Genomic DNA, 24,426 nt, shown 5'->3' with positions numbered 1-24,426 from the left:
GTCTCTAGGGCTTCCCTCCTGTGTGTGGTGTGGCTTTGGACCTGACTCTAATTTTTATGGAGGCTTAAAGAAGCAGTTTCATTACTTCTCATTTTTTATGTCACTTCTTATTCCATCTAGTGCTTAATAATTTGCTTTCCCCAAGAGTAGGTGCTCAGTAAAGGCTTTTTGCCAACAGAAGGGACATAGGGGCACTGAAAAGTTGCTCGACATAAGTATCTCCAAGGCTACTCAGTAATTTAATAGCAGGTATAGGAGAAGATCACAGTTTCCTCTTTGTTCTCTCTTGTATCTGATGGGAATAGGAGGTGGAAGGGTGATACCTCCACTTAGAGAATACAGGAGACATGTTTATTCTGACCATTTAAGTCATCTGTGACATAGAGTGTCAAACAATATTTATTCTCAGGCTCCAGTGGGATGGCAGAGATAGAAAAGAACAAGAGGCAGCCTAGGCTAGCAAGGAGGACCTGAACTGGAAGTCAGGAAGTTATGTGATTGTTAGTAGAGGATGTAATGATTAGAAGCTATTCTTAATCAAAGAATTCTTAATAAAAATTCCTAGAACTTCCATGCCTTCAGCAGCTCACGCAGCCAAGAAAGAAATTATCCACGCCCTGGGGGAACCTAAAGCCCATCAGCTCCCTCGCTGCCATGTGCAACCCAAGCGCGGAATAAGGCTCACGGGACCTGTGCCACATACTGAAACAGGACTGCCAGCTTCCCAAAGTGGTCAGTGATGCTCCTCCAACTGCAGCTACTCTTTGATGACCTGGAGGGGTGTTTAGTCATCATCTGAGCCAGTGCAGTTCAAATCAGCCCAGGGTTCTGATGACGCACCACATACACAGGGGGAGGATGTGGGGAGCTGAATGGCAGAGTCCTGGGGCCCCTCCTTCATTTCCACAGGGCAGCTCTGCTTTCAAAGACAGGGTTGTGATTTAGAAAGAAGAAAACCTTAATTTAGAGCCACTGCTTTGGGGAATTAAGTCTCAGAGATGAAGTAATGGGCTGCAGGTCATTCAGCCAGTTGGTAGCAGAGCCTGGGGTAGAATCCAAACCTTGAGCGCCTCGTGCCCAGTCCCCTTCCACTTCATTCGCTCGTGCTGCCAAGTGTCTCATTATACACATACGTCTCAAATAACGATGCTAGAGGATGCTCCAGTAACACTTTTTTTTTAAAAAAAGCATTACAAAAGAAAGCACCAAAACGTCCACAAAAGCATACACAAGGTTATTTATCTCCAACAGCCCAACGCGACAAGATAGCTTCACACCCAGCTTGCAGGTGGACTGTTCTCTCTCCTCTACCCCAGCTGAAGATAAAAAAGGCCAGCCCTTGGCACCATCAACTAGTCAATAACTTAGTTTTCCAGGTCTTTCTTAAAAAAGACAGTTCCTCCTCCTCTTTAGCCCTTTTCTCACTGTCAAATCAAGGAGGAATCCGCCACCAATAAGTTTACTGGAACCTCCATTGACTGACTACTTTTCCATTGTGAGTAAATGTCTTCAGAATTCTCTGTTCCTTAGTGGTATGTGCTGTTAAAATTTTATCTCTAATGATTCCAGTAAAGACTTTTTATTAAAGGAATTTCGAACATCCATGACAGAAACAAGGGAAGATGCTTTTTCTCAGTGGTTGGGGAAGACCTGGTGATCATATTAGGTGTTAATTCAAGCTGCACCTCAGGTGGCTTAACAGCAAATCCTGTTTTGATCTTTTAAAGGCAGAAATCCCTCCCTAGTCATCGGGACCTATGAGTAGAACTTGAAGCATCCTTTGTTGGTTTTTCAACCACAGCCTGCCTGATAAGCCCCTCCACGCCTTTTGCCAGGATTCTGCCTGGTAGGGAAAGACACAAGGGCCATGATGGCACCCTCCTCTTTGGCCCCTTTCCTATTCTACCAAAAATCTTGATTTTCCTCTGCCTCTGCCAACTCCTCTGTGGTCTCAAGTGTTCCAGGAAATGAGGAGTAATTCTTTAAATCTTGCTTTAAAAGGGGAACACCATGTGACTCCTCCCTGTGGTGGGTGAGGGGTGGGGTGGGGAGGCTGAGGGGGCTCAATGGTGCCTGTAGAAGTCCAGGTTCAGGTCTCTTGGGGGAGGAGGAAGCTCTGTCGTCCCTTCCACTCAGCATCAGCCAGCCTGGAGACCGCATCAGATTGGCATAGCTCCCTGGAACAGTCTCCCCTTCCCTTCATCCTCCACCACCGCACCCCCCCACCCCACCGCCTCCCGCCCCCGCCTTCTCTTAGCTCTTCCCTCCCTCTGCCCCCAGGCTCCTACTTGCATTCTTTATATCTTCTGGCATTTTTCATGTTGTTTTACTTTGTATTTAATAATAGCTCTGCATTCTTTTCTTTATCTGAAATCAAGGCTCATACCTGCATCATGCGTTCACTTTGGGAGTAAAATTTATGGCCGAACTTGCCATGGGGTTAATTGCTTTTCATTAACTTCATACTTCTTAATTATTACAAATTATTTGCCTGTACTAGAAATAGTTCCATCCTGTGCTCCAAATTTACTAGCCTGCAATTGCAACCAGAAACGGGAAGTCTTGGATTGCCGGTGCTTGGGGAGTGAGGTTCCCAGCTTTATGCATCGGAGTCTGACCAGACTGAGGGTAGGAAGACGGTGGGTAATTCTAGATCTTTAGACTTCAAAGCCCAGATTAGGGCCCGTAGGCCAAATAAAAATTGAATTTAGCTTTTCTGAGCCATAGACTGTTCTGTGTCTCAATTCTCAAATCTATAAAGTGGAGTTAGGAAGACAGAAAGACACGATGTGTATATTTAATAACAAGTTTACTTTAAAATCAGTTTGAAAAACCTATACTTCACATAATGAGTGGGGTTTCAAAAGCAAGAAAGAGAAAAAGTATACCCACCAAAGGGGAGGGCAGAATAAATCCCAATGGAAAATTTGTGCCTTTCTGTGGTTGGAGTCATTTGGTCAAGAAATGATGAAATTACAAATTTCTGAAAAGGGCGTGTGTGTCGGAGTTCCTGAGGTCCAGTTCTCAGCATGGTACTTGGGCAAGGCCAGTGTTGAACTCTGAGGAAGAATAAAGAGAAGGAAGTGGTCACGACCAGCATTCTTTGCCAAAACAGCAGTGCCTCCATGGCCTCGTACTGCCCATGAGTCTCTTCATCTCATGGATTTGAAGCAAGCTCTCTCAGCAAGCCTGTACACCCATTGTCCCTTGCAATGTGATTCGTCCTTTGACTCCTTAGATGGGAATGGTTGGTAAAAAGGGAATCGCAGCTGGAGGTTTGTGGGAACTGGCATATTCAGACTACACAAAGGCCCTGTGTGTGCAGACACAGCCACAGCTGTGGGAGCCAAGGGCCTGGCAATGGGGAGAAGTAGGTATTTCTCAGTGCAGGAAAGCATTCCTGTCCGTGCTCACAATCCATCTGGTATTGACTTTGAACTCACACGCAGAAAAAAGGAATGAAGTCGGCCCAGCAGCTGAGCCCAGAATCAGCTGGGAGGACATTCAAAGTTCCCTGTAAGGGAGCGTGGATGGACAGAGGAGGACAGGGATTTGTAGCCACTTCTGCAATCGCTCTGACCATTGCCAAGTGGGCTAGCAGCAGCAGATGTTCCAGCAGGAGGGCAGTGTCTGTGCCCAGCGGCAGGGCCATTGTCCTTGCTGGAACCATCTCACACTGTTCACTGAGTCTTGTTCTCAGCTGACTGGCTTTCCAAGCTTAACTCTCTTGGCTTTCCCAAAGAGTCTGTGAGCCACCCAATATCCTTTAACAAATTCCTTTTCTGTTTAGACTAGCTAGACTGGTCTTTACAGTTTTTAATGGAAGGCCCTGGCACTGATAGCTTTCGAAGGCTGGAGCTCTATGGCTTTTAATACTCCATGCTAAAGAAAACACAATTTTTTGCTTTGTTTTATTTTCTGCAAATAAAATGTCTTGTTCTCCTCTTCCTATGTGTGTATTTATATAGTTCAGTTAGGCTTTAATATACAAGCTCTGAATTCTCCAAATACCAAAGCAGACAGTTTAAGAAAAGAAGGAAAGCAAACGCCTATTTCTCCCACTTTCAAAAGCACACACTTAAATTTTGTGTGGAAAAAAAATCTAAGCTCTCTAGCTCCACTCGGTGTCCTGTTGAACTGGTGTGGCACCATGTTACTCTTTCAGAGAATGAAAATGAAACTTGCTCACTGTAGCTTCATTGAACCACTTTATTCTTTGACCAATTTTGGATGGGTATTTTAATTAAAAATTTTTTTCAGCCAGGCACGCGGTGGGCTCACGCCTGTAATCCCAGCACTTTGGGAGGCCAAGGCAGATGGATCACGAGGTCAGGAGATCGAGACCATACTGGCTAACACGGTGAAACCCCGTCTCTACTAAAATTACAAAAAATTAGCCTGGTGTGGTGGCACACGCCTGTAATCCCAGCTACTCAGGAGGCTGAGGCAGGAGAATAGCTTGAACCCAGGAGGTGGAGGTTGCAGTGAGTTGAGATCAAGCCACTATACTCCAGCCTGGGTGACAGAGCGAGACTCTGTCTCAAAAAAAAAAAAAATTAAACTAAAAACAGTATGGGACAGTGGCCAAGAGCGTGGGCTTTGGAGTTAGGTCAACTTGGATTTGAATCTTGCTGCAGCTATATACTAGCTTTGCGACTGTGTCTTGCTACTCAGGTTTTGTGAGGCTCATCTGTAAGATGAATATAATAAAAATGTTCACCTCAGAATATTATTGTGAGGATTAAACAAGATCCAAGACCTGGCTTAAATTGCCATTAGAGAATGACCCAGGGGAGCTTATTCATTGTAGCTAAATGATAAAATTTAAAATCAAGATTTAAATGCTTTCAGAAGGGGTGCATTTAGAAACACTGAAGTCTCCTTGTTACTCTCTTTTTAAATATGATAGGAATTACAATTCTTATAGAGATTATGCTACACAATGATCTATGTTTACACAAGAACGTAAATGTTGTCTTGGAGAGATTACATGCTCAGATGGCAGAAGCTCTTCAGTGGCAATGAGGGCATGGGCTACTGGGCTACTCTTTGGCTTGGAAGACCTTTCCTGTCTTCCGTTCACCCTACCATGGCTCAATTTGGCTTCTGCCTACCTCCCCAATCCCATCCTACACCACTTCAGCCTTCACTACTGACCTTAGCTGTTGTCTGTTGCCTAAACACCTTCTTCAAGTTGTTCAGGTTACACTGACCTTACCTATTATCTGTTGCCTAAACACTCTCTTCTGTCTCAGGACTATTGCACTTGTTACTTCTTCAGCCTGGAGCGCATGTACAGGTACACACACACACTTACGCAAACACACACAAAATCATTCAAAGTTCAATATATATGAAACCTTTTCAGAGAAGACTGTCATCACCATCCTTGATGATGCGTGGTGGCTTTTAGTCATATAAAATGGCTTTATATATTTTAAAGTACTTTTTGTTATAAAGGTATATTTTTCAAGGCATAAAAAATATACAAAACATATTTTATATAGCAGTTTATTAGCTTGGTTGAGTTTTTAAATATTTAGACATTACTTACAGCAAAACATTGAAAGCACCTAATTTTTTTTTCCTGTTGGACATTTAAGTTCTATCCAAATGATGCAACAGTGTTCAGCCATGGAGTAAAATTGTTTGAAGTCTATACAACATGGAGAAATCCTTATGATAAAGACAAGAATAAAATATGAATATAAATCAAGAATATGTCTAAGTGAAACATGCATATAGAAAGAAAGAAATAAAATAGTTCTTAGGATGGGAACATTAGGGAATCTTTCCCACTTATTTTCAAGATGTTTATATGGTTATATTTAACTCTATAATTACAGGTTAAAAACAGGTTGCAACTCCATAAGTAACCTGTTTCTGTACCATTATAGCAGCTGCCTATGGAGAAGGGCTCGGTGCTGACAGGCTACTTAGCCTCACCTGCCTTCCTGTCCGGCAGTGGTAGGATTTCCACCTCTGCTTCCATGTATTGGCATGGTAGGAAGACAGCCGCAGAGAACAGACAGGTCAGATCAAATGCCAGCCAGGAGAAATATTTTAGGCCAGGCACAGTGGTTTACACCTGTAATCCCAGCACTTTGGGAGGCCGAGGCGGGTGGATCACCTGAGGTCAGGAGTTCGAGACCAGCCTGGCCGACATGGTGAAACCCTGTCTCTACTAAAAATACAAAAAATTAGCTGGGCATGGTGGTGCGTGCCTGTAACCCCAGTTACTTGGGAGGCTGAGGCAGGAGAATCACTTGAACCTGGGAGGTGGAGGGTGCCGTTACCTGAGATCGTGCCATTGTGCCATTGCACTCCAGTCTGGGCGACAAGTGTGAAACTCTGTCTCCAAAAGAAAAAAAAAAATAGGAAGAAAAAAAGAAAACAAAAACCCAGCTGCGAGAAATATTTTAAAGAACAAATCTAAAACAGTGGGCAGTTTGGCCCCCCAAGTGGATAATTCTAGGGAATTCTGGAGTTTAAGTTTGCATGACTTTGGCTGGCACCCAGACTTAAATCCATTCAGTTCTCCTGCCAGTGAAGCGAACAGACAAGTGAACAAGCCAGATCCAGCAAGAGTCGATCACAGGGCTCCACAGGAGACTGTTACGAACCCTGAAAGATGAGCAGATATTAGGCAGGCAATGAAAAGAGGGCAAGGTGGGGTGGGTGATGGAGGGTAGTTCAAGGCCAAGGGGACAGCGGGTGCAAAGGCAGAGCCTAGGAGGGGTGCTGGACCTCTGAAGGTCTGAAGAATTACCCTGACGACTGTCTGGAGAGGACTAGAGGAGAGTAAAAGCGGAAGCAAGGGGATCAGCTAGAAGGCTGCTGAAATGTTGAAAGAGAAAAGATGAGGGCTTAACTCAAGGCAGAACAGTGGGGATGGAGAGGGGATGAATTTGCAAGGTAAGAGGTGACGGAATCAGCAGGACTTCATAACCATCAGAAGAAGAAAAGTCAAGGGTGATTGTCAAGATGCTGGCTAGACATCTGGGTGCACTGGTGGGACCAACATTGCCAAACAAGTGTCTAGAAACAAACGAGTACTTGGTATTCATTCGTATTTTAGATGGAAAACTGCCTGCCCCTTTCCCATATTCTGATCCATGGACATCTATGATGTTTATATTTACATTTTATGGTTACATAGGGTAAACTCTATAGTTAATAATCAGGGAAAGAAGTCGCACCGAGGAAGGAATTCCAAGCCTCTTTAGAAACAATCTTTTGTCATAAATATCCAGAGGCATTTATGAATAAATACTGACCCCCAGTGTCTACGTACAGAAACAAAGATTTTAAAAACGATATAAAATACCAAGACTCCTGGGAGAGTACCTGGAATTCCAGCTACAAGTAACATTCCCTGCAATCCAATCCCAGGATCCTAGCAGGCATCCTCAGAGATAAAAATACTGACTAGCTAACCTATGGCCAGCGGCCTTAGGTCTGGAGAATTCTAATGAGTATTCTACAGAATGAGTGTCGGGATGGATTACATAGCCTCAATTGTGTTGCAGAGCTATGTGTTGGCCTTTGCCCCTCTGCTTCAGAGGTTACATATGTCAAGGTCTAGGTTCAATTACTCCTAAGAGTCTTCCCACTAAGGGTAGATTTTATGCAATTAATCTGACTAATACAAACTCCAGCTCTGTCTGATTCCCCATCCAGTTCAACACGACATCCAGAGAATTTTCCTCTCAGGCAGATACAAAGCAGTGTGGTTGGGCAGACATTCCCTCTTCAATACTGTGTGGTTAGGGTTAAGTTCACGAGAATTTTTTTTTTTTTTTTTTTTTTGTGATGGAGTTTCACTCTGTTGCCCAGACAGGAGTTCAGTGGCGTGATCTTGGCTCACTGCAACCTCCATCTCCCGGGTTCAAGTGATTCTCCTGCCTCAGCCTCCTGAGTAGCTGGGATTACAGGCACGTGCCACCACGCCCAGCTAATTTTTGTATTTTTAGTAGAGACAGGGTCTCACCATGTTGGTCAGGCTAGTCTTGAACTCTTGACCTCGTGATCCAGAAAGGAATTCCATTACTATTGGTTAACTGCAAGGTGATGGCAGTCATAATCGTGTTTCAGATTTGTTGTTTCAGCACACAAGCTCATTGCTGGTCTGATGCAAGCTGTAGCCTCAAAGATAATAGAAATAAAATAAGTATACAATTTGTTTCTTGACAAGATAATACAGACTTAAGAAGTCTTTCTCTTGGGCCAGGTGTGGTGGCTCATGCCTGTAATCCCAGCACTTTGGGAGGCTGAGGCGGGCGAATCACTTGAGGTCAGGAGTTTGAGACCAGCCTGGTCAACATGGTGAAACTCCATCTCTAATAAAAATACAAAGATTAGCCAAGCATGGTGGCGGGCACCTGTAATCCCAGCTACTCGGGAGGCTGAGGCACAAGAATTGCTTGAACCTGGGGGGGCAGAGGTCGCAGTGAACCAAGATCACACCATTGCACTCCAGCCTGGGCGACAAAGCAAGACCCTGTCTCAAAAGACAGAAAAAAAAAAGAAGAAAAGAAGAAGGCTTTCTCTTATCTTTCTCTTACTTAACAAAGACTGAGGTTTCAAGAATAAAAAGTCAAAAAAACCAGGCACCTCACTCTGAATAAGACATGTTTTAATGACTATACTAAACACAACATTGTTAAACTTACCAATTTTTTCCTCTGTCACTTTATTTTTTCTAGTTTTTTAAAAAAATTTCAAACCTACAGAAATGCTGAGATGATAGTAGAATAATACAACATTACAAATCATTTCCTCAATTCATCAGCTATGACATTTACTGTACAGTCATGTGCCTCAGTCATGTGCTGTTTTGGTCAACAGCGGACTGCATATACGATGTAAGATTATAATGGGGCTGAAAAATTCCTGTTGTGCAGTGACTTATAGCCATCCTAAGGTCCTAGCATGAGCCATTACTCATGTGTTTGTGGTGATGCTGGTGTAAACAAACCTACTGCACTGCCAGTCATACAAAAGTATAGCACATACAAGGATGTACAGTATGTAATACCTGAAAATGATAATAAATGATAGTGTTTTTTGTATTTACTATACTATACTTTTTCTTATCGTTTTAGAATATACTCCTTCTATTTATTAAAAATATTAGTTAACTGTAAGACAGCCTCAGGCAAATCCTTCAGGTAGTATTCTAGAAGAAGGCATTGTTAACATGGGAGATGACAGCTCCATGCATGTTAGTGCCCCTGAAGACCCTCCAGTGGGACAAGATGTGGAGGCGGAAGACAGTGACACTGATGATCCTGATCCTGTGTAGGCCTGGGCTAATGTGGTATTTGTGTCTTAGCTTTTAACAAGAAAGTTTAAAAGGTAAAAAATAAAAAATTTTATAGGAAGAAGCTTATAGCTGGGCGTGGTAGCTCACACCTGTAATCCCAGCACTTTGGGAGGCCAAGGCGGGCGGATCACTTGAGTCCATGAGTTCGAGACCAGCCTGGGCAACATGGTGAAACCCCGTCTCTACTAAAAATACAAAAGATTAGCCAGGCATGGTGTGGTGCGCCTGTAATTCCAGTTACTCGGGAGCTGAGGCAGGAGGGTCACTTGAACCCAGGAGGTAGAGGCTGCAGTGAGCCAAGATCGCACTACTGCACTTCCAGCCTGGGAGAAACAGCGAAACTCCGTCTCAAAAAAAAAAAAAAAAAAAAGAAAGAAAGAAACTTATAATGACATAAAGAAAATATTTTCATATGGTTAAATAAGGTTTCTGTTTTAATGTGTTATTACAAAAGTCAAAAGGTTTTGAAATATTAAAAACTTTTTAAAAGTTACAGTAAGCTAAGGTTAATTTATTATTGAAGAAAATTTTTTAAATAAATTTAGTGTAGACAAAGGGTATAGTGTTTATGAAGTCTACTGTAGTGTACAGTAATGTCCTAAGCCTTCACACTCACTCACTACTCGCTCACTGACTCACCCAGAGCAACTTCCATTCTCACAAGTTCTATGCATGGTAAGTGCCCTACGCAAATGTGCCACTTTTTAATCTTTTATAATGTATTTTTACTGTACCTTTTCTATGTTTAGATATGTTTGGACACACAAATACTTACCATTGTATTACAATTGCCTGCCGTATTCAGTACAGTAACATGCTGCACAAGTCTTTAGCGTAGAAGCAATAGGCTAAACCATATTTTTTATGTTTGTGTAGTATACTCTATGATGTTCACACGATGACAAAACCATCTAAGAATCCATTTCTCAGAACAAGTCGCATCATTAAGTGACCAATGACCGGTGTTTGCTTTCTGTCTCTAAAAATATAGAAACATTGTGTTGGCTGAGCCATTTACAAATGACTTACTGATAACAGGATGCCTTACCCTTAAATTCTTCAGCAGCTGTCTCCTAAGAACAAGGCACCATACCATTGCTATACCCAATAAATTTAATATTTATTATCACCTAATACAGAGACAGATTTTTTTTTTTTTTGGCAGGGTGGCGGCGGTGGGGGGGGCGGTGATGGAGTCTCCCTCTGTCGCCCAGGCTGGAGTGCAGTGGCATGATCTCAGCTCACTGCAACGTCCACCTCCCGGGTTCAAGCGATTCTCCTGCCTCAGCCTCCCAAGTAGCTGGGATTACAGGTGACTGTCACCTTGCCTGGTTAATTTTCATATACTTAGTAGAGACAGGGTTTCACCATGTTGGCCAGGCTGGTCTTGAACTCCTAACCTCAAGTGATCCGCCTGCCTTGGCCTCCCAAAGTGTTGGGATTACAGGCGTGAGCCACCGCACCCAGCCTACATAGACACATATTTTAATTTTCCCAAGTGCCCCAAAATATTCTTTGTAAATTTTTACAAGCTAAAGATCCAATTAAAGTTCACGAATTACATTTCACTATCATGTCCCTATAGTGTCATTTAATCTGGAACTGTCCCTTCATATTTTTGTGTTTATTTTTTGGCCTTGATATTTTTTAAAAGTCCAAACCAGTTGTCTTTTAGGGTATCCTGTATTTTGAATGTGTCATATTGCTTTCTCATTATTAGATTTAGATAAAAAGTTTTTGGGAAGAAGACTAAGTGATAGGTACCTCCCACTGATTTATAATAACAAGGACATGCATAAAATCACATACTATCTATTTGACCCATCCATTGGAGATTTTAAGGTTAATCACTCGGTTGCAGTAGTGTCTAAGGGATCTCTCCATTGTGAAGATACATTTTTTCTTTGTAATTAATAAGTTTATTATAAGACTATGCGAATGTTCAGTTCTCTAAAAGCCCAGTGGTTTTAGCATCCATTAATAGTCCTTGCTTGCATCCATTATTACCAATGGAAGCTGGCAATCTTCTGTAAAGAAACAGTATATATTTATGTCTCCTTTTTCTCTCCCCACCTTTAAAAAAATACCTTTATGGTCTTAGGCACTATTTTTTGAATTCAATGTTCTATAATTCATTACCATCATTCTTTTTCTTACTTTAAATTGCCCCAAATTTGGTCCTTCAAGCAAATGTCTGTGTCCCATCAGTCTTGTAACATCTTGATGAGTCAGAAAAGTGCTCAAAGTTCACCTTATGCTTCATCTGCCTCAAACCTGGAAGCAGGCATTTCCCCAAACATGCCTGCTTCTGTGGAATAGTGTTTATGAACCAAGATTGAAGGAATTCAGTGTGTTTGTTGTTTCTGGGTTATTGTTTCTAGGCCCTTTCAGAAGACAGAGCCAGAGTTAGTAGGGAGGGGCTTGGGGGAAAGAGAGTGGAAAATACACACACACACACACACACACACACACACACACACACACACACACACACTCTTACACAAACACCTCTCATCCAGAACCAATATACCACATGGTCCTTCCTTACCTTCCTCCATTCCGTATCTTTCTTCTCCCATGGTGAGTAACCTCACTTACAATAACATCAATACATTTATACTCATTTTTAACGCTACATAATTGTTTCAGAATTACGTAGTAAAAATAGTCTCAGCAACATTTTCATCTTTATGCACTTGAACATCAGAGTTACCAAATTATCCCACATCATCTTGCAGAAGTCACACACAGCAAGCTAACAGGCTTCTAAATAGTAACCAGAGATAATATAGATTACATACAAGTCGAAATTCCAGGCCAGGAGACAAATAACAACTGTTATTAATGTGCACGTTGGGAACTGCATGTTAATAAACGTGGTCACAACCTGGGATGAGAAATAACTTACAAATGTTGAGCAAAAGAGTCTGGTTGAGCTTGGAAATAGATCATCACATTCATCTTCCTTGCACACCTTATCAAGGAAAAATACATTAGCCATAATGTATTCTAACCAAGGATATTTCGTTAATTTGATGCCCATATTGGTACTACACAATGCAAAATCTTCTCTTCTGATGCAGTACTGCTCTTTTAGAAAAACCATTCTCAGTGTACTGGGATACGGTACTAGTTTGAGAGGCTTTTTAAAAGTTAAAACTCTGGGAGCAGCTGATGTTGCTATTGCCTTTATCTTGCCACACTGACCCACATGGGACAATCATCTCAGCCTGGGCAGAGGAGACATGCATAGCTGGCTCCAGGGAAAGCGTAAACTGGCAGCAGGATAGGCTGCCTCCTCCAAGGACCTAATTCCTAGATAGGCTGTCTTTTTTTTCTTCAGTAGAGACAAAGTCTTGCTATGTTGCCTAGGCTGCTCTCGAATTTCTCAGCTCGAGCAATCCTCCTGCCTCAGCCTCCCAGAGTGCTGGGATTACAGGCAGGGGCCACCATGGCTGGGCTGGTCATTGTCATTCCCTCTTTTTTTTTTATAGGAGAAAATAAATCCCTAATTTCTGTCCCAGCCTCAGAATAGAAGGATGCCAAGACTGGGATAGAGAATAAGCAGCCTTCAAGATTCCTGCATCAGAAATTCTGGATAAACTGTTAACAATGCAAAGAAAACAGGTTCACTAGGTGATCCTAAGGTTGAAGTGCTGGAGTTGTTAACTAATTTTAAGTGACATTTAAAAAAATGTCTTGGCCGGGCACGGTGGCTCACGCCTGTAATCCCAGCACTTTGGGAGGCCGAGGGGGGTGGATCACGAGGTTGGGAGATTGAGACCATCCTGGCTAACATGGTGAAACCCCATCTCTACTAAAAATACAAAAAATTAGCCAGGTGTGGTGGCGGGCACCTGTAGTCTCAGCTACTCGGGAGGCTGAGGCAGGAGAATGGCATGAACCCGGGAGGTGGAGCTTGCAGTGAGCCGAGGTCGTGCCACTGCACTCCAGCCTAAGCAAAAGTGTGAGACTCCGTCTCAAAAAAAAAAAAAAAAAGGCTCTTCTGTTCATATTTTTTCAGCCAAGATCTCAAAAACAGTAAGACCAAATTGTATCACAGAGTACTGTATTAGCAAAAATCATCCTTTTCTTGGGAAGCCTGTGAGATTCTAAAGTGACTGGATATGACAGTTGCTTTGTGTGCAGAAGCACATCATGCTGCCAGAAGGTTCCCTGGAAGAAGATACCTTGATGCAGGACAATGGAAGAATCCAACTCTAGGATCTTGAAGTACATTAAGACATGGTCACCCCTTGGGCTGGAAAACTCAGAGGCCAGTTCCAGAGATGATGATATTCAAAAATGGTGTGAATATCACTATGGCAGCCTAGCCATAGGTTTGGAATTCTACGAACATCATCTGGTAGTTGCATTCTTGACCCTGATATTTGAATTCTAGAGTATTACTTGGTTAATCAACACCACTAAAACGAAGGGGCTACACTAGAGAAACCAATAGTAGGTAATTAATAAATGTAAAGCATCCACATTCCATGTCCTTATGCATCACAGATGTGGCCAGCTGCAGGCAGAGCAGGTTCTTCTTTTCAACCATCTTCTTTGGCTAATCGTTAAAAGTCTTGCGTTAATAATCAAATGGAGACAAAGCAGTAGCAAAAATACTTTAAAGTTAGTATTCTTCAAATGCCAATTGTACTATAAAGTGGATAAAAATAAACTAATCCAATGAAAAACCATGAAAAAAATGGAAAATATCTATAACAGGTATTATAGCTACAAATGTTTTACATGACTTTATCATCGAAATATATGTGACCTGCTTTGAAACAGAGTCAACGGCTTAAAGAAATGATGACTTACGTACCCACAGCATCTAAAACATAGTGCAAAAGAGTATCATTAAGACAGATATGCAATCGTGTCCATGGCCTACCCTGACTGCTCCGTGCTACATACCATAATCTTTTGCCATCAGTTAGTTAATGAACAAATTTATGTCACAAGCCCCAATATACCATTCCCTCTGCTTATGTGAATGAAGTTACATGCACTGTATTCTACCTTCCCTGCTTCATGCTTCAACATATAGAAAATCATGAGTATCTGTTGTGTTGAAATAAGTGCAATTCTTTCTTTGAGTGTTACAGGAAAGTATGAGTCAAAGACTAGTTTAGAAGCCTACCTAAAATTCACCAAACACACGGAGACACTTTGGGGATGCCATTTTCAGTCACTTTATTATCAGGAACTTTATTTTTAAACTAATTACAGGTACCCAAAGTTCAAAAAATTAAAACAAACCAAAATGAGAACCTCAACAGCCATAGTTGTTTATTTGCTGCTTATTCTTGTGGCCAAAGAGGAATTCTACTAAATGTCAAATGAAGGATGTCTCTAAACTAGAAGACAAGTTAAAGGGCCTTGTTGTCATTTCTGTCATTGTGGTGGTGGTTGTTGGCTTTCTTGGAGAAATATATCTGTGACTTTCTCAACTAATGGGCCTCTGGCCTTAATTATCAAAGTATCCCTTTTCCTAGAGGAAAAGACTAGTAATAAATACATACGGTATATTATCTAATATCCCTTACTGTTATCCCAGAAAATCTTATTAAATATTAAAGTGAACTACTGATTAGAATAGTGCCTGTCAATGGTGACTCAATAATGATTTCTTGAATGATAAATACCTTTAACTTCATCTCTACTTGTTGCTCTCCCATCTCAGAAACTTATGACCTTCATTAAGCCCCACTAGTTACTAGTTTGGTGACCGACTAGGGGGCTAGCAAGAAAGCTAACTCATAAGGCTATGACATAAGCACTGAGGCATCCTAAAGCCTTATCTGGGCCACAATAAGTTACCTAGTTACCTATACAAACTCTACTCCACAGCCTAGCTCTGGAAAATCGGGGAAAAAGAGAGAGAGTTCAGCACCCATAACACACTCCTATGCCACTTCTTTTGCATTTCTTCTTAGCCAACAGTTGAGAAAGACTATTTTTTAGCTTGTTTCACTTTTCCTTGATCTTCTACTTTCTTAATGGCTGCTTGGATCGCCTCTTGGTCACCCAGGAACTGATGAGGCCCAACAGCACGCAGGTTTTCATCCAATTCCAGAAGAATGGGGACTCCAGTAGGAAGAGTAATGTTGATGATGTCTTCATCTGAGATACCTGTTGATCAGGACAGGAAGAGACCAGGTGTTAAAACACAACTCAGGAGGAAGTTCTGTTTAATTATATAACTGCACTTTAATCCCATTTAACTGTGTGCCTGAAACATGCAGGTACTGAGGGATTCCAGCTATAATTCCTGGAAGCCAGGAACTTTCCAGAAATTACAAGAAAAAAGGCTTAGAGATTCACAGCAAGTGCTACATCAGGACAGTAGATACCTTTTGGGACAATCTGTTCCTGTTTCCTATCTAAATCCGAAAGGAAGGAAAATTATTTTCTCTATGCCCACATTTGTGTTACTAGTTTTCCAAGGAATCAGGTAATCTCGAAAAATCAGAAAGTGAACCAGGAGCATTGGCTGTATTTCTCCTTTTATGTGTTGTACCCAGGCTGGTACTAAAATTAGGACTTTTCGCTAATCTCTAAATCTAGTTCATTTGCTTAAAATGTGTTTGGTTTTCCCACACTAAGTGAGCTTGCAATACCCTGAGCTAGATCCAGTCCAACAGGAATGCTTTCCCAGGTGCTTAGAAAGCACAGTCAAGGGAATCAGGAAGGGATTTTACAGCATGCCTGTGAACAGGGCTCGCTCTCCTATGATCCCTGAACATTCCAGCTGCTAAAAAAGGAAGGTATATATAAAACACAAGCCACCTTTAGCCCTTTTTAAAGTACAACTGAATTACAGGTAATTCAACTTGGACCAGAAGAGCTGTAGTTGTAGTAGCAGTGGTAGTAATAATATTCTTTATAAGTACTTTTAACAATAAACAGCTAACATGTTCTGAGTTCATATTTCATGCCAGGTACTCTTTTAAGCATTTTGTATGTATTAACTCATTTAATCATCATTGCAATATGATGACATATTATTTCTCCATGTAACAAGTTCTGGCACAGAGAGGTTAAGTAAACAATTATCACACAGAGAGTAAATGACAGAGCCTGGATTCAAACCTAGGGGTCTGTACCCACTGTATAATGTAACTCCTCTCAAGTTTCTGAGTTCAAAGTGAGCAAAGGGAAGGCATGAGAAAGAGATGAAGTTCAGCAAGCTAAAAGACAACTGAAAGTATTCAAATTATCTACTTTAAAAACACTCCTTTATTAATCACATAGACTTCTAAATTCTAACTATATGCTTCCTGTTCTATATTAACAGAAAGGACCTAGGTGAAACAAGTTCAGGGGAGTCCAAGGGTTTGTCTTTACTTGAGAGTGGCAGAATAAGTTGTTATTGGTTAGTAATCAATGCACCTTTTCATTTTAATTAGCCATTGATCCTAACTGTGAGCACCAGCCAAACAGTCACAGAATCGTAGCACTGGATGCTTACTGCTGGGGTGGCTCTTTATTAGAATTTCACGTCAAGGCCTAGAAGAGCTCCCTAATAACTCTTATACACAAACTATCCATACTCAAACAACTATGAAAAATGGAAAGGATCTTAACTCAGAAGACACAGTCTCTTCCAAGTAAGTGTACTGTCCCATCACCTGCCCTGCCAGTACCCCTTCAATGTAATACAGAATTTTAGGCAAGTAACTTCTCTGGACCTCCAATTCTCCTGTCAATTAAAAAAGAAAGAAAGAAAGAAAAGAAACACACACTCTTCCTTTGCCAGCATTTTAAAGGGTTGTGGGATAAAAGGGGTGGCTTAAAAGAGAACATACATGAACAAAGGGTAGCACAATAAGTGTCTCTTCTTTCTCTATTAGGAATTCCCTTCTAGGTAGCAGATTTAATGGGAAGGCTACTAAGATACTCCTTTGCCCTGCCAAGCCCCACCCTCACACTGCAACCTTAGAGAAGATTACCATCACAAACTACAGCTGCTGAGAACAAATCTACTCAGACCAGACCTCTAGCTGTTTAGCAGGGAGATGACTACTCTAGATTCTAAACACCTTCTGGCTTCAACAGGCCAGAAATGTCAGCTAGCCGCACAACAGCCACCACAAACATCCCTTGGAAAGAGCAGGAGGGGAAGTCAACAGCCTGTTGTTTGGAGTCAGGTGACCACTGAGCCTTTCAAATCCAACAGTGCTCACTCCCAAATCCAGGGGAAGCTCTGGAGGTCTCCAAACCTAACTCATTCACTAACTAGTAACTGAGGGCCCTTTATATTCCTAGTACTCTGTGGAAGAACATGTGTGAGTGACCTTGGCCAAGATTTTACCTCCAATGAACTATTTTTTCATTTATAAAATAAGTCCCTCTAGCACCAACATTCCTGTATTTTATTCTTAATGGTTAAGAAAAGCAGAGGCACCTTAGAGACACAAGAGCATGAGTACACTGAGTACTGTTTACATTCATCTACTGTGCAAGGACCATGCTTTATCTGTTTCCAGAGTCTGTAAGCATATTGCTCACTAAATTGGAGAGAAAAATGGATTTTATAGATTTCTCCAAATAATCTAAATTTTCACTATAAAAAATTAATTTGTTAAAAGATAACAAAAGTGACCATGTTTGACTAAAGCTTACCAGAAGTAGAAACTATGAGTGTATATATCTATCAGCATCTTGGATTCACCACTCATAGATGTGTGCCTTTGCAGTGTCACCAACTATTAATCTTAAGTTCTTGAACCTAGGACTTTATTGTAGAATGACTGAACATTCTACTTCTATTCAACATTGTATTTAAGATCCTAGCTAGGGCAACTAGGCAAGACAATGAAATAAAAGGCACCCAGATTGGAAAGGAAGAAGTAAAACTATCTCTATTTGCAGATGGTATGATCCCACCAAAAACCTGTTAGAACTAATAAACTCAGCAAGGCTGCAGATATAAGAACAATACAGAAAAGGAAATTGGGTTTTTAATACAGTAGCAATAAGCAACATGAAAGATTAAGCAAACAATTCTATTTATAATAACATCAAAAAGAATAAAATGCTAAAAATAAATTTAACCTAAGAAGTACAAAACTATACTCTGACTACTACAACACAGTGTTCAAATGAAAGAAAACCTAAATATGTATTTATGGATTAGAAGACATAACACTGTTAAGAGGGCAATATTTCCTAAATTAACATACAGATTCAATACAATCCTATCAAAAATCTCAATGGACTTTTTTGTATAAATTGACAAACTGATCTTAAAGTTCATATGGAAATCTAAGGTACTCAGAATAGCCAAAACAATCTTGAAAAAGAAGAAATAAACCAAGGGACTCATAGTTCCTGATTTCAAAACTTACTACAAAGCTATAGTAATCAAGATACACACAGATCAATGAAATAGAATTGGGAACCCAAAATAAACCCTCATATTTTTTATCAATTGATTTCCAACAAGTGTGCCAAGACAATGAAATGCAGAAACAATAATCTTTTCAACAAATAGTACTGGGATAACTGTATATCCATATGTGAAAGAATGAAGTTGGACCCCTGACTCATACTTTATATAAAAATTAACTCAAAATGAATCAAAGACTTAGAGTCAAGAGCTAAAATTGTAAAAATTTTTAGAAAAAAAGCCATAGGAGTAAAGTCTTCATCACCTTGAGTTAATTAATGGTTTCTCAGATATGACACCAAAAGCATACACAAGAAAAAAATAAACTGGGTATATAAAAATTAAAAATGTTTGTGCTTCAAAGGACACTATTAAGAACATAAAAAGGCAACCCAGAGAATGGGAGAAAAATTTGTATATCATATATAGTCTAGATACAAGTTCCTTATCAGATATAAGAACTGTCTCCAATAATAAAAAGACAAATGATCAAATTTAAAAATGGGCAAAAGGTTTAAACAGCCATTTCTCCAAAGATATACAAAAGGTCAATAAGTACATAAAAATAGGCTTAATATTACTAGCTATCAAGGAAATGCAAATCAAAACCACAATGAGATACTACTTTGTACCCTCTAGGATGGCAACAATAAAAAGTCAGATTATAAACAAGTGTGAATAAGGATGTGGAGAAACTGGAATCATAATACACTGTAAAATCAGGTATGCAAAAGGCTATAGCCTCTTTCGAAAACAGTCTGGCAATTCCTTTTGTTAAACACAGATCTACCATATGACCCAGCAATTCCACTACTAAGCATATACCCAAGAGAAGTGAAATATGAGTCTATACAAAACTTGTACACAAACCTTCATAGCAGCATTACTCATAATAGTCAAAAAGTGAACACAACACAAATGTCCATTAACTAATGAACAGATAAATTAAATGTGGTATATCCATACAATAGAATATTATTTGGCAATGAAAAGGAATGAAGTACTGAACCAAACCACAACAAGGTTCTTGGATGAATCTTGAAAGCATGATGCTACTAAATAAAAGAAGCCAGTCACAAAGGACCACTTACTGCATAAGTCCATTTACATGAAATGTCCACAACAGGTGAATCTATAGTGACACAAAGTAGATTAGTTGTTGCCCAGGGCTGGGTGGAATAGGGGAGGAACTGGGGGGGTGATAACAGCTAAGGGGCACTGGGTTTCTTTTTAGGGTAGTGAAAATGTTCCAACATTGATTGTGGTAATGGATTTACAATTTTGTGAATACACTAAAAGCCATTTAATTGTATACTTTAAATGGCGAATTGCATAGTATGTGAATTATAACGCAATAAAGATGTTAAAAAATAGTAAACAGGGCTGGGCGCAGTGGCTCATGCCTCTAATCTCAGCACTTTGGGAGGCTGAGGTGGGTGGATCACTTGAGGTCAGGAGTTCAAGACCAGCCTGGGCAACATGGTGAAACCCTGTCTCTACTAAAAATACAAAAATTAGCCAGGCGTGGTGGTGGACGCCTGTAATCCCAGCTACTTGGGAGGCTGAGGCAGGAGAATTGCTTGATCCTGGGAGGTGGAGGTTGCAGTGAACCGAGATTGTGCCATTGCACTCCAGCCTGGGTGACACAGCAAGACTCTGTCTCAATTTAAAAAAAAAAAAAAAAAAAAAAGGAAACAGATCCAGAGTGGTTAAATAAAAACCTGCTCTACTCACAGGACTATTAAGGCAGTAAAAATGGACCTTTTTAAACTACCAAATCCCCAGGATTTAAACCCTGGTCAGGTGACTTATCCATGGTTATTTCCACGACTACTGAGGAGGAGAGAGAAGAATGTTTATATGAATGCTCTGCCCTCGTGAAAGGCTGGGTCCTAAATGGACATCTGCTGATGCCATCCAGTGTTCCCACGACTGGTAAAGGGAATGAATAAGTTTGTCTGATCCCCAGCTAACACACTGCGATTATGATGGGCCATGTTTAGGGGTTGTTGTCTGTGACTTTAGAAACGAGTTCCAGGTCTTCAGCAAGGGGCTTGGGTATACATGGGATTCACTTGTTTGACCATGGCCTCAGATCTAACCGGATCCAACAGGTCCCCTGTTTAATAGCAGCACTCTCAAGTTTGGTCCCTTTTGTGTGGGACCAAATTAAAGAGCCAAATAAACAAAGGCCGCCGTAATATTTCAACTACAAAGGAAGGAGAGTTCAACAAAAATAGAAATGTTTCCAATAAATAAATAAAATCAACATTCCACTTTAATGACTACTCAAGCCATTCACACAGCAGACTAATTACTTACAAATATTTAAAATACTTAGACTGGTTAATAATCAGTCAATGAGACTTAAGTGACTAAAATTTTGTTTTATTTTATTTTATTATTATTATTTTCTTTTTGAGATGGAGTCTCGCTCTGTCGCCCAGGCTGGAGTGCAGTGGCGCGATCTCAGCTCACTGCAAGCTCCGCCTCCTGGGTTCACGCCATTCTCCTGCCTCAGCCTCCAGAGTAGTTGGGACTACAGGTGCCCGCCACCACACCCGGCTACTTTTTTGTATTTTTAGTAGAGATGGGGTTTCACCATGTTAGCCAGGATGGTCTCTATCTCCTGACCTCGTGATCTGCCCGCCTCGGCCTCCCAAAGTGCTGAGATTACAGGTGTGAGCCACCGCGCCCGGCCAACTAAAATTTTAAAACAGCAAATTAGGAAAAACCACAGTGAAGCCATTACTCATTACTCAATTTTGGCATAAGTTACATTCATCATCCTAAGAAAGTTAAGCAGGCAGAGCTCCTAAGGCCAGAATAATGCATCTGAACTATATTAAACCAAACTGAATTAGTCCTATCAGCCTTATGTATATACAGATTTCACATCTAGCAAGTGTAGTATTTTTGATCCAAGTTGTTTTGGGAAAAAATCCATGTATAAGTGAACCTATGCAGTTCAAATCCATATTGTTCCAGGGTTGGCTGAAAAGGGAAACACTGCTGAGTTCTCACCCTGTACCTACCCCTCTCCACAGTGGTGTGGAGTTAAATACAGTTGTCATTACTTAGTGGACCATATTACTAAATAATTTCTGGACCCTAGCAGCCAAACCATAATAGTGTTACTTACAGTTGAACAAACATTCACTAAATTCTTGCAATGGGCAAGGCACTGTGTTCTACAGTAGGGTGGAGAGGAGCAGGTGCAGGGTGAGAACTCAGTGGTGTTTCCCTTCACAGCTACCCTTGTCTTTAAGGGTCCACCATTGCCTTTAAGTCTGTGTTGAAGTCTTTAAGTCTGTGTTAAAGTCTTTAAGTCTGTGTTAAATACTTAAAGTCTGCCTTTAAGTATCGAATCTTCATGTAGAAGCACCTAGGAGCTAACTGCAGTCAATTTAAATAATGGGATATTTTAAGGAAGAAATAATGAAAGTTTGGGGTAATAAGTCCAGGAAGTAGCTCAAGGCCAAAATTGGGGAGAAAGTCAAACAACTTTATTTTCTGCATAGAGGAATAACTTCAGGAAGTCAAATTTGCACCTACCAACCCCCTCCCCTAAGTCACCATAGCAGGAACAGGAACCAAAGACAAACTGTTATGTACACTGTACATCTACTAAAGCACCTCCTGGTAGAGGTGCTTGTGCAAATGCTCACTTTTCCCACCAGGATTATAAATTCCTTGAGAGCAGGAACAATGTTTGATCCATTTCTGTATCACCCATGCTGTTACAACACAGTGCTTTACCCACTGCAAGATTTAGTAAATGTTTATTCAACTGTAAGTAACACTTTTATGGTTTGGCTGCTAGGGTCCAGAAATTATTCAGTAATATGATCCACTAAGTAATTACAGCTGTATTTATTATGTGAATCTACTTTTTACATATAACTAAAGGCTATAAGGAATAAAATGTTAGGCTGGGTGTGGTGGCTCATGCCCATAATCCCAGCACTTTGGGAGGCCGAGGCAGGCAATCACGAGGTCAGGAGATCGAGGCCATCCTGGCTAACACAGTGAAACCCCGTCTCTAATAAAAATACAAAAACAAAATTAGCCGGGCGTGGTGGCGGGTACCTGTAGTCCCAGCTACTTGGGAGGCTGAGGTGGGAGAATGGCGTGAACCTGGGAGGTGGAGCTTGCAGTGAGCCCAGATTGCACCACTGCACTCCAGCCTGGGCAACAGAGCGAGACTCCATCTCAAAAAAAAAAAAAAAAGAACAAAATGTTAATTTAAAAATCCTAAAACATAAAGCCTATATATGAAAACACCCTAAGGACTTTGTCAGAGGTACAGTACAGACAAATTTCAGAAAGAGGTTAAAAGCTCCACAAAAGGACCTTGTGTGTCTCATTCACATATAGGTGCTATATCCCTTGTACCATGAACAAGACCTGATTTAGTGAACCCTAGGTGCAAACCTGAATTGAATAAATTCGAACTCTCTGGGTTTTCAAATTAAATCTAGTCTTTTATTGTTGAAGCCTTGATTAAACACTGTGCTCTCCTATGACCTTACCAAGAAAAAAAAAGGAGAATTAAAAGAATCTTAGCCTTGAACAAAAAGCTGTTTACATCTAGTGCCAATAAAATAAACAATTCAAATTAAATGGCTTTAGATGTTCTTTGATTTTCTCCAAAGTGTTCAAAATCTTTGAATTTTAGAAAACCAGAAGAGATGGTCAGAGAGACAGAAAGATTCGCTACAGGATGAGAAGGAAAGAAGAAACCCCAATTCGGTAGTGTATACTCTTTGGAATTAGAAAAAAAAGGGAAACAACTCCAGTCAACTCATTCATTTAATAAGGTGCCACCCATTCATTCCTCACTTTCCTCTCCTGGTCAAGTAAGTCACAATTCAAACCCCACCGACAATCTGTGATAAGAGTTCTGTATTCCTTTATGGCCAATAAGAGCTGAAACTAGAGATTCAGAGTTTCATAAATGATCTATTTTTAATTTTAATTCTTTAAGATCTGAATACTATATATGTAAAGATATGCTAGGGTGATTTGAATAACACGATAAAATAACAGCCACTAATTTAGAGTAAGGCAGAGAGAAGAATCCATTCTACGTTTAATTTTATAGTTAAAATAGCCTATAATGTTTAAAAAATAAAGGGTTCTATAAATCAATTATTATAAAAGAAAGCTTAACCACACCAATAGGCAACTACTTGCCTCACAGAAGCGAGGCCTGAATTGGCTGCTTCTGAAAATATCACACTAAAATGCCAAAGGTAACCAACTCATCAGTCCCCGTCCCCACAGCTAGTCCCAGCTGACCTTTCCTCCCTGAGTCTCTAATTTTATCTCAGCACTTCTGTGCCTTGCTATGTATGCAGCTGCACACAGGTCTTCAGGGATCAAGTCTGTCTTGCATGAGTGTCTTGTGTGTCACTCTTACTCCAAACTTGAAACTGCCTCGTCCTGTGCTTAAACCCAGACTAAACAATCCATTTCCTCTGGCAAGATGCAGACTACATCCAGTGTTTCAGTTTGGTACCTGGCTTTTCCTTGGACGTGCGCCAGCAGGAAACAAACAGGAAGTGACTATGCCAACCACAGAGAATGAAACACACGCCTGTCTGGAACGCTACAGTACAGGATGCTTTCAGATACTTAGGTCTGCGTTAGATGTTTTCACGGTGGTGCTTTGTGAGAAGTGTGTCTGAACCAGTCAGAGGTG

At 40.7% G+C, this 24,426-nt stretch overlaps 1 protein-coding gene and 1 long non-coding RNA gene across 9 annotated transcripts in view, besides 1 other annotated feature; one reads left to right on the top strand and one right to left on the bottom strand.

Annotated features, from left to right (window-relative positions):
• The window catches only part of LOC124901750 (uncharacterized), a 224,798-nt gene that overhangs the window by 149,569 nt on the left and 50,803 nt on the right, over positions 1-24,426 (top strand). The gene's annotated exons all lie outside the window — the stretch shown is intronic.
• Positions 11,765-12,059: a silencer, noted in NCBI's record as "tiled region #7726; HepG2 Repressive non-DNase unmatched - State 24:Quies". NCBI's record gives its function as "represses a minimal TATA promoter and a strong SV40 promoter by Sharpr-MPRA in HepG2 cells {active_cell/tissue: HepG2}" and the evidence as "EXISTENCE:reporter gene assay evidence [ECO:0000049][PMID:27701403]".
• The window catches only part of BPGM (bisphosphoglycerate mutase), a 32,964-nt gene continuing 23,037 nt past the window's right edge, over positions 14,500-24,426 (bottom strand). For all 5 annotated transcript variants that reach the window (NM_001293085.2, NM_199186.3, NM_001724.5 and 2 more), the window contains one exon: positions 14,500-15,463. In NM_001293085.2, the coding sequence (NP_001280014.1) occupies positions 15,285-15,463 (179 nt within the window). In that variant the 3' untranslated portion in view covers positions 14,500-15,284. The remainder of the gene's footprint in view (positions 15,464-24,426) is intronic.

Source organism: Homo sapiens, chromosome 7, assembly GCF_000001405.40.
Source record: "Homo sapiens chromosome 7, GRCh38.p14 Primary Assembly".
Taxonomy (NCBI): Eukaryota; Metazoa; Chordata; class Mammalia; order Primates; family Hominidae; genus Homo; species Homo sapiens.
Note: the sequence above shows the minus strand (reverse complement) of the source record. Positions and strands in the feature narration are given on the sequence as shown.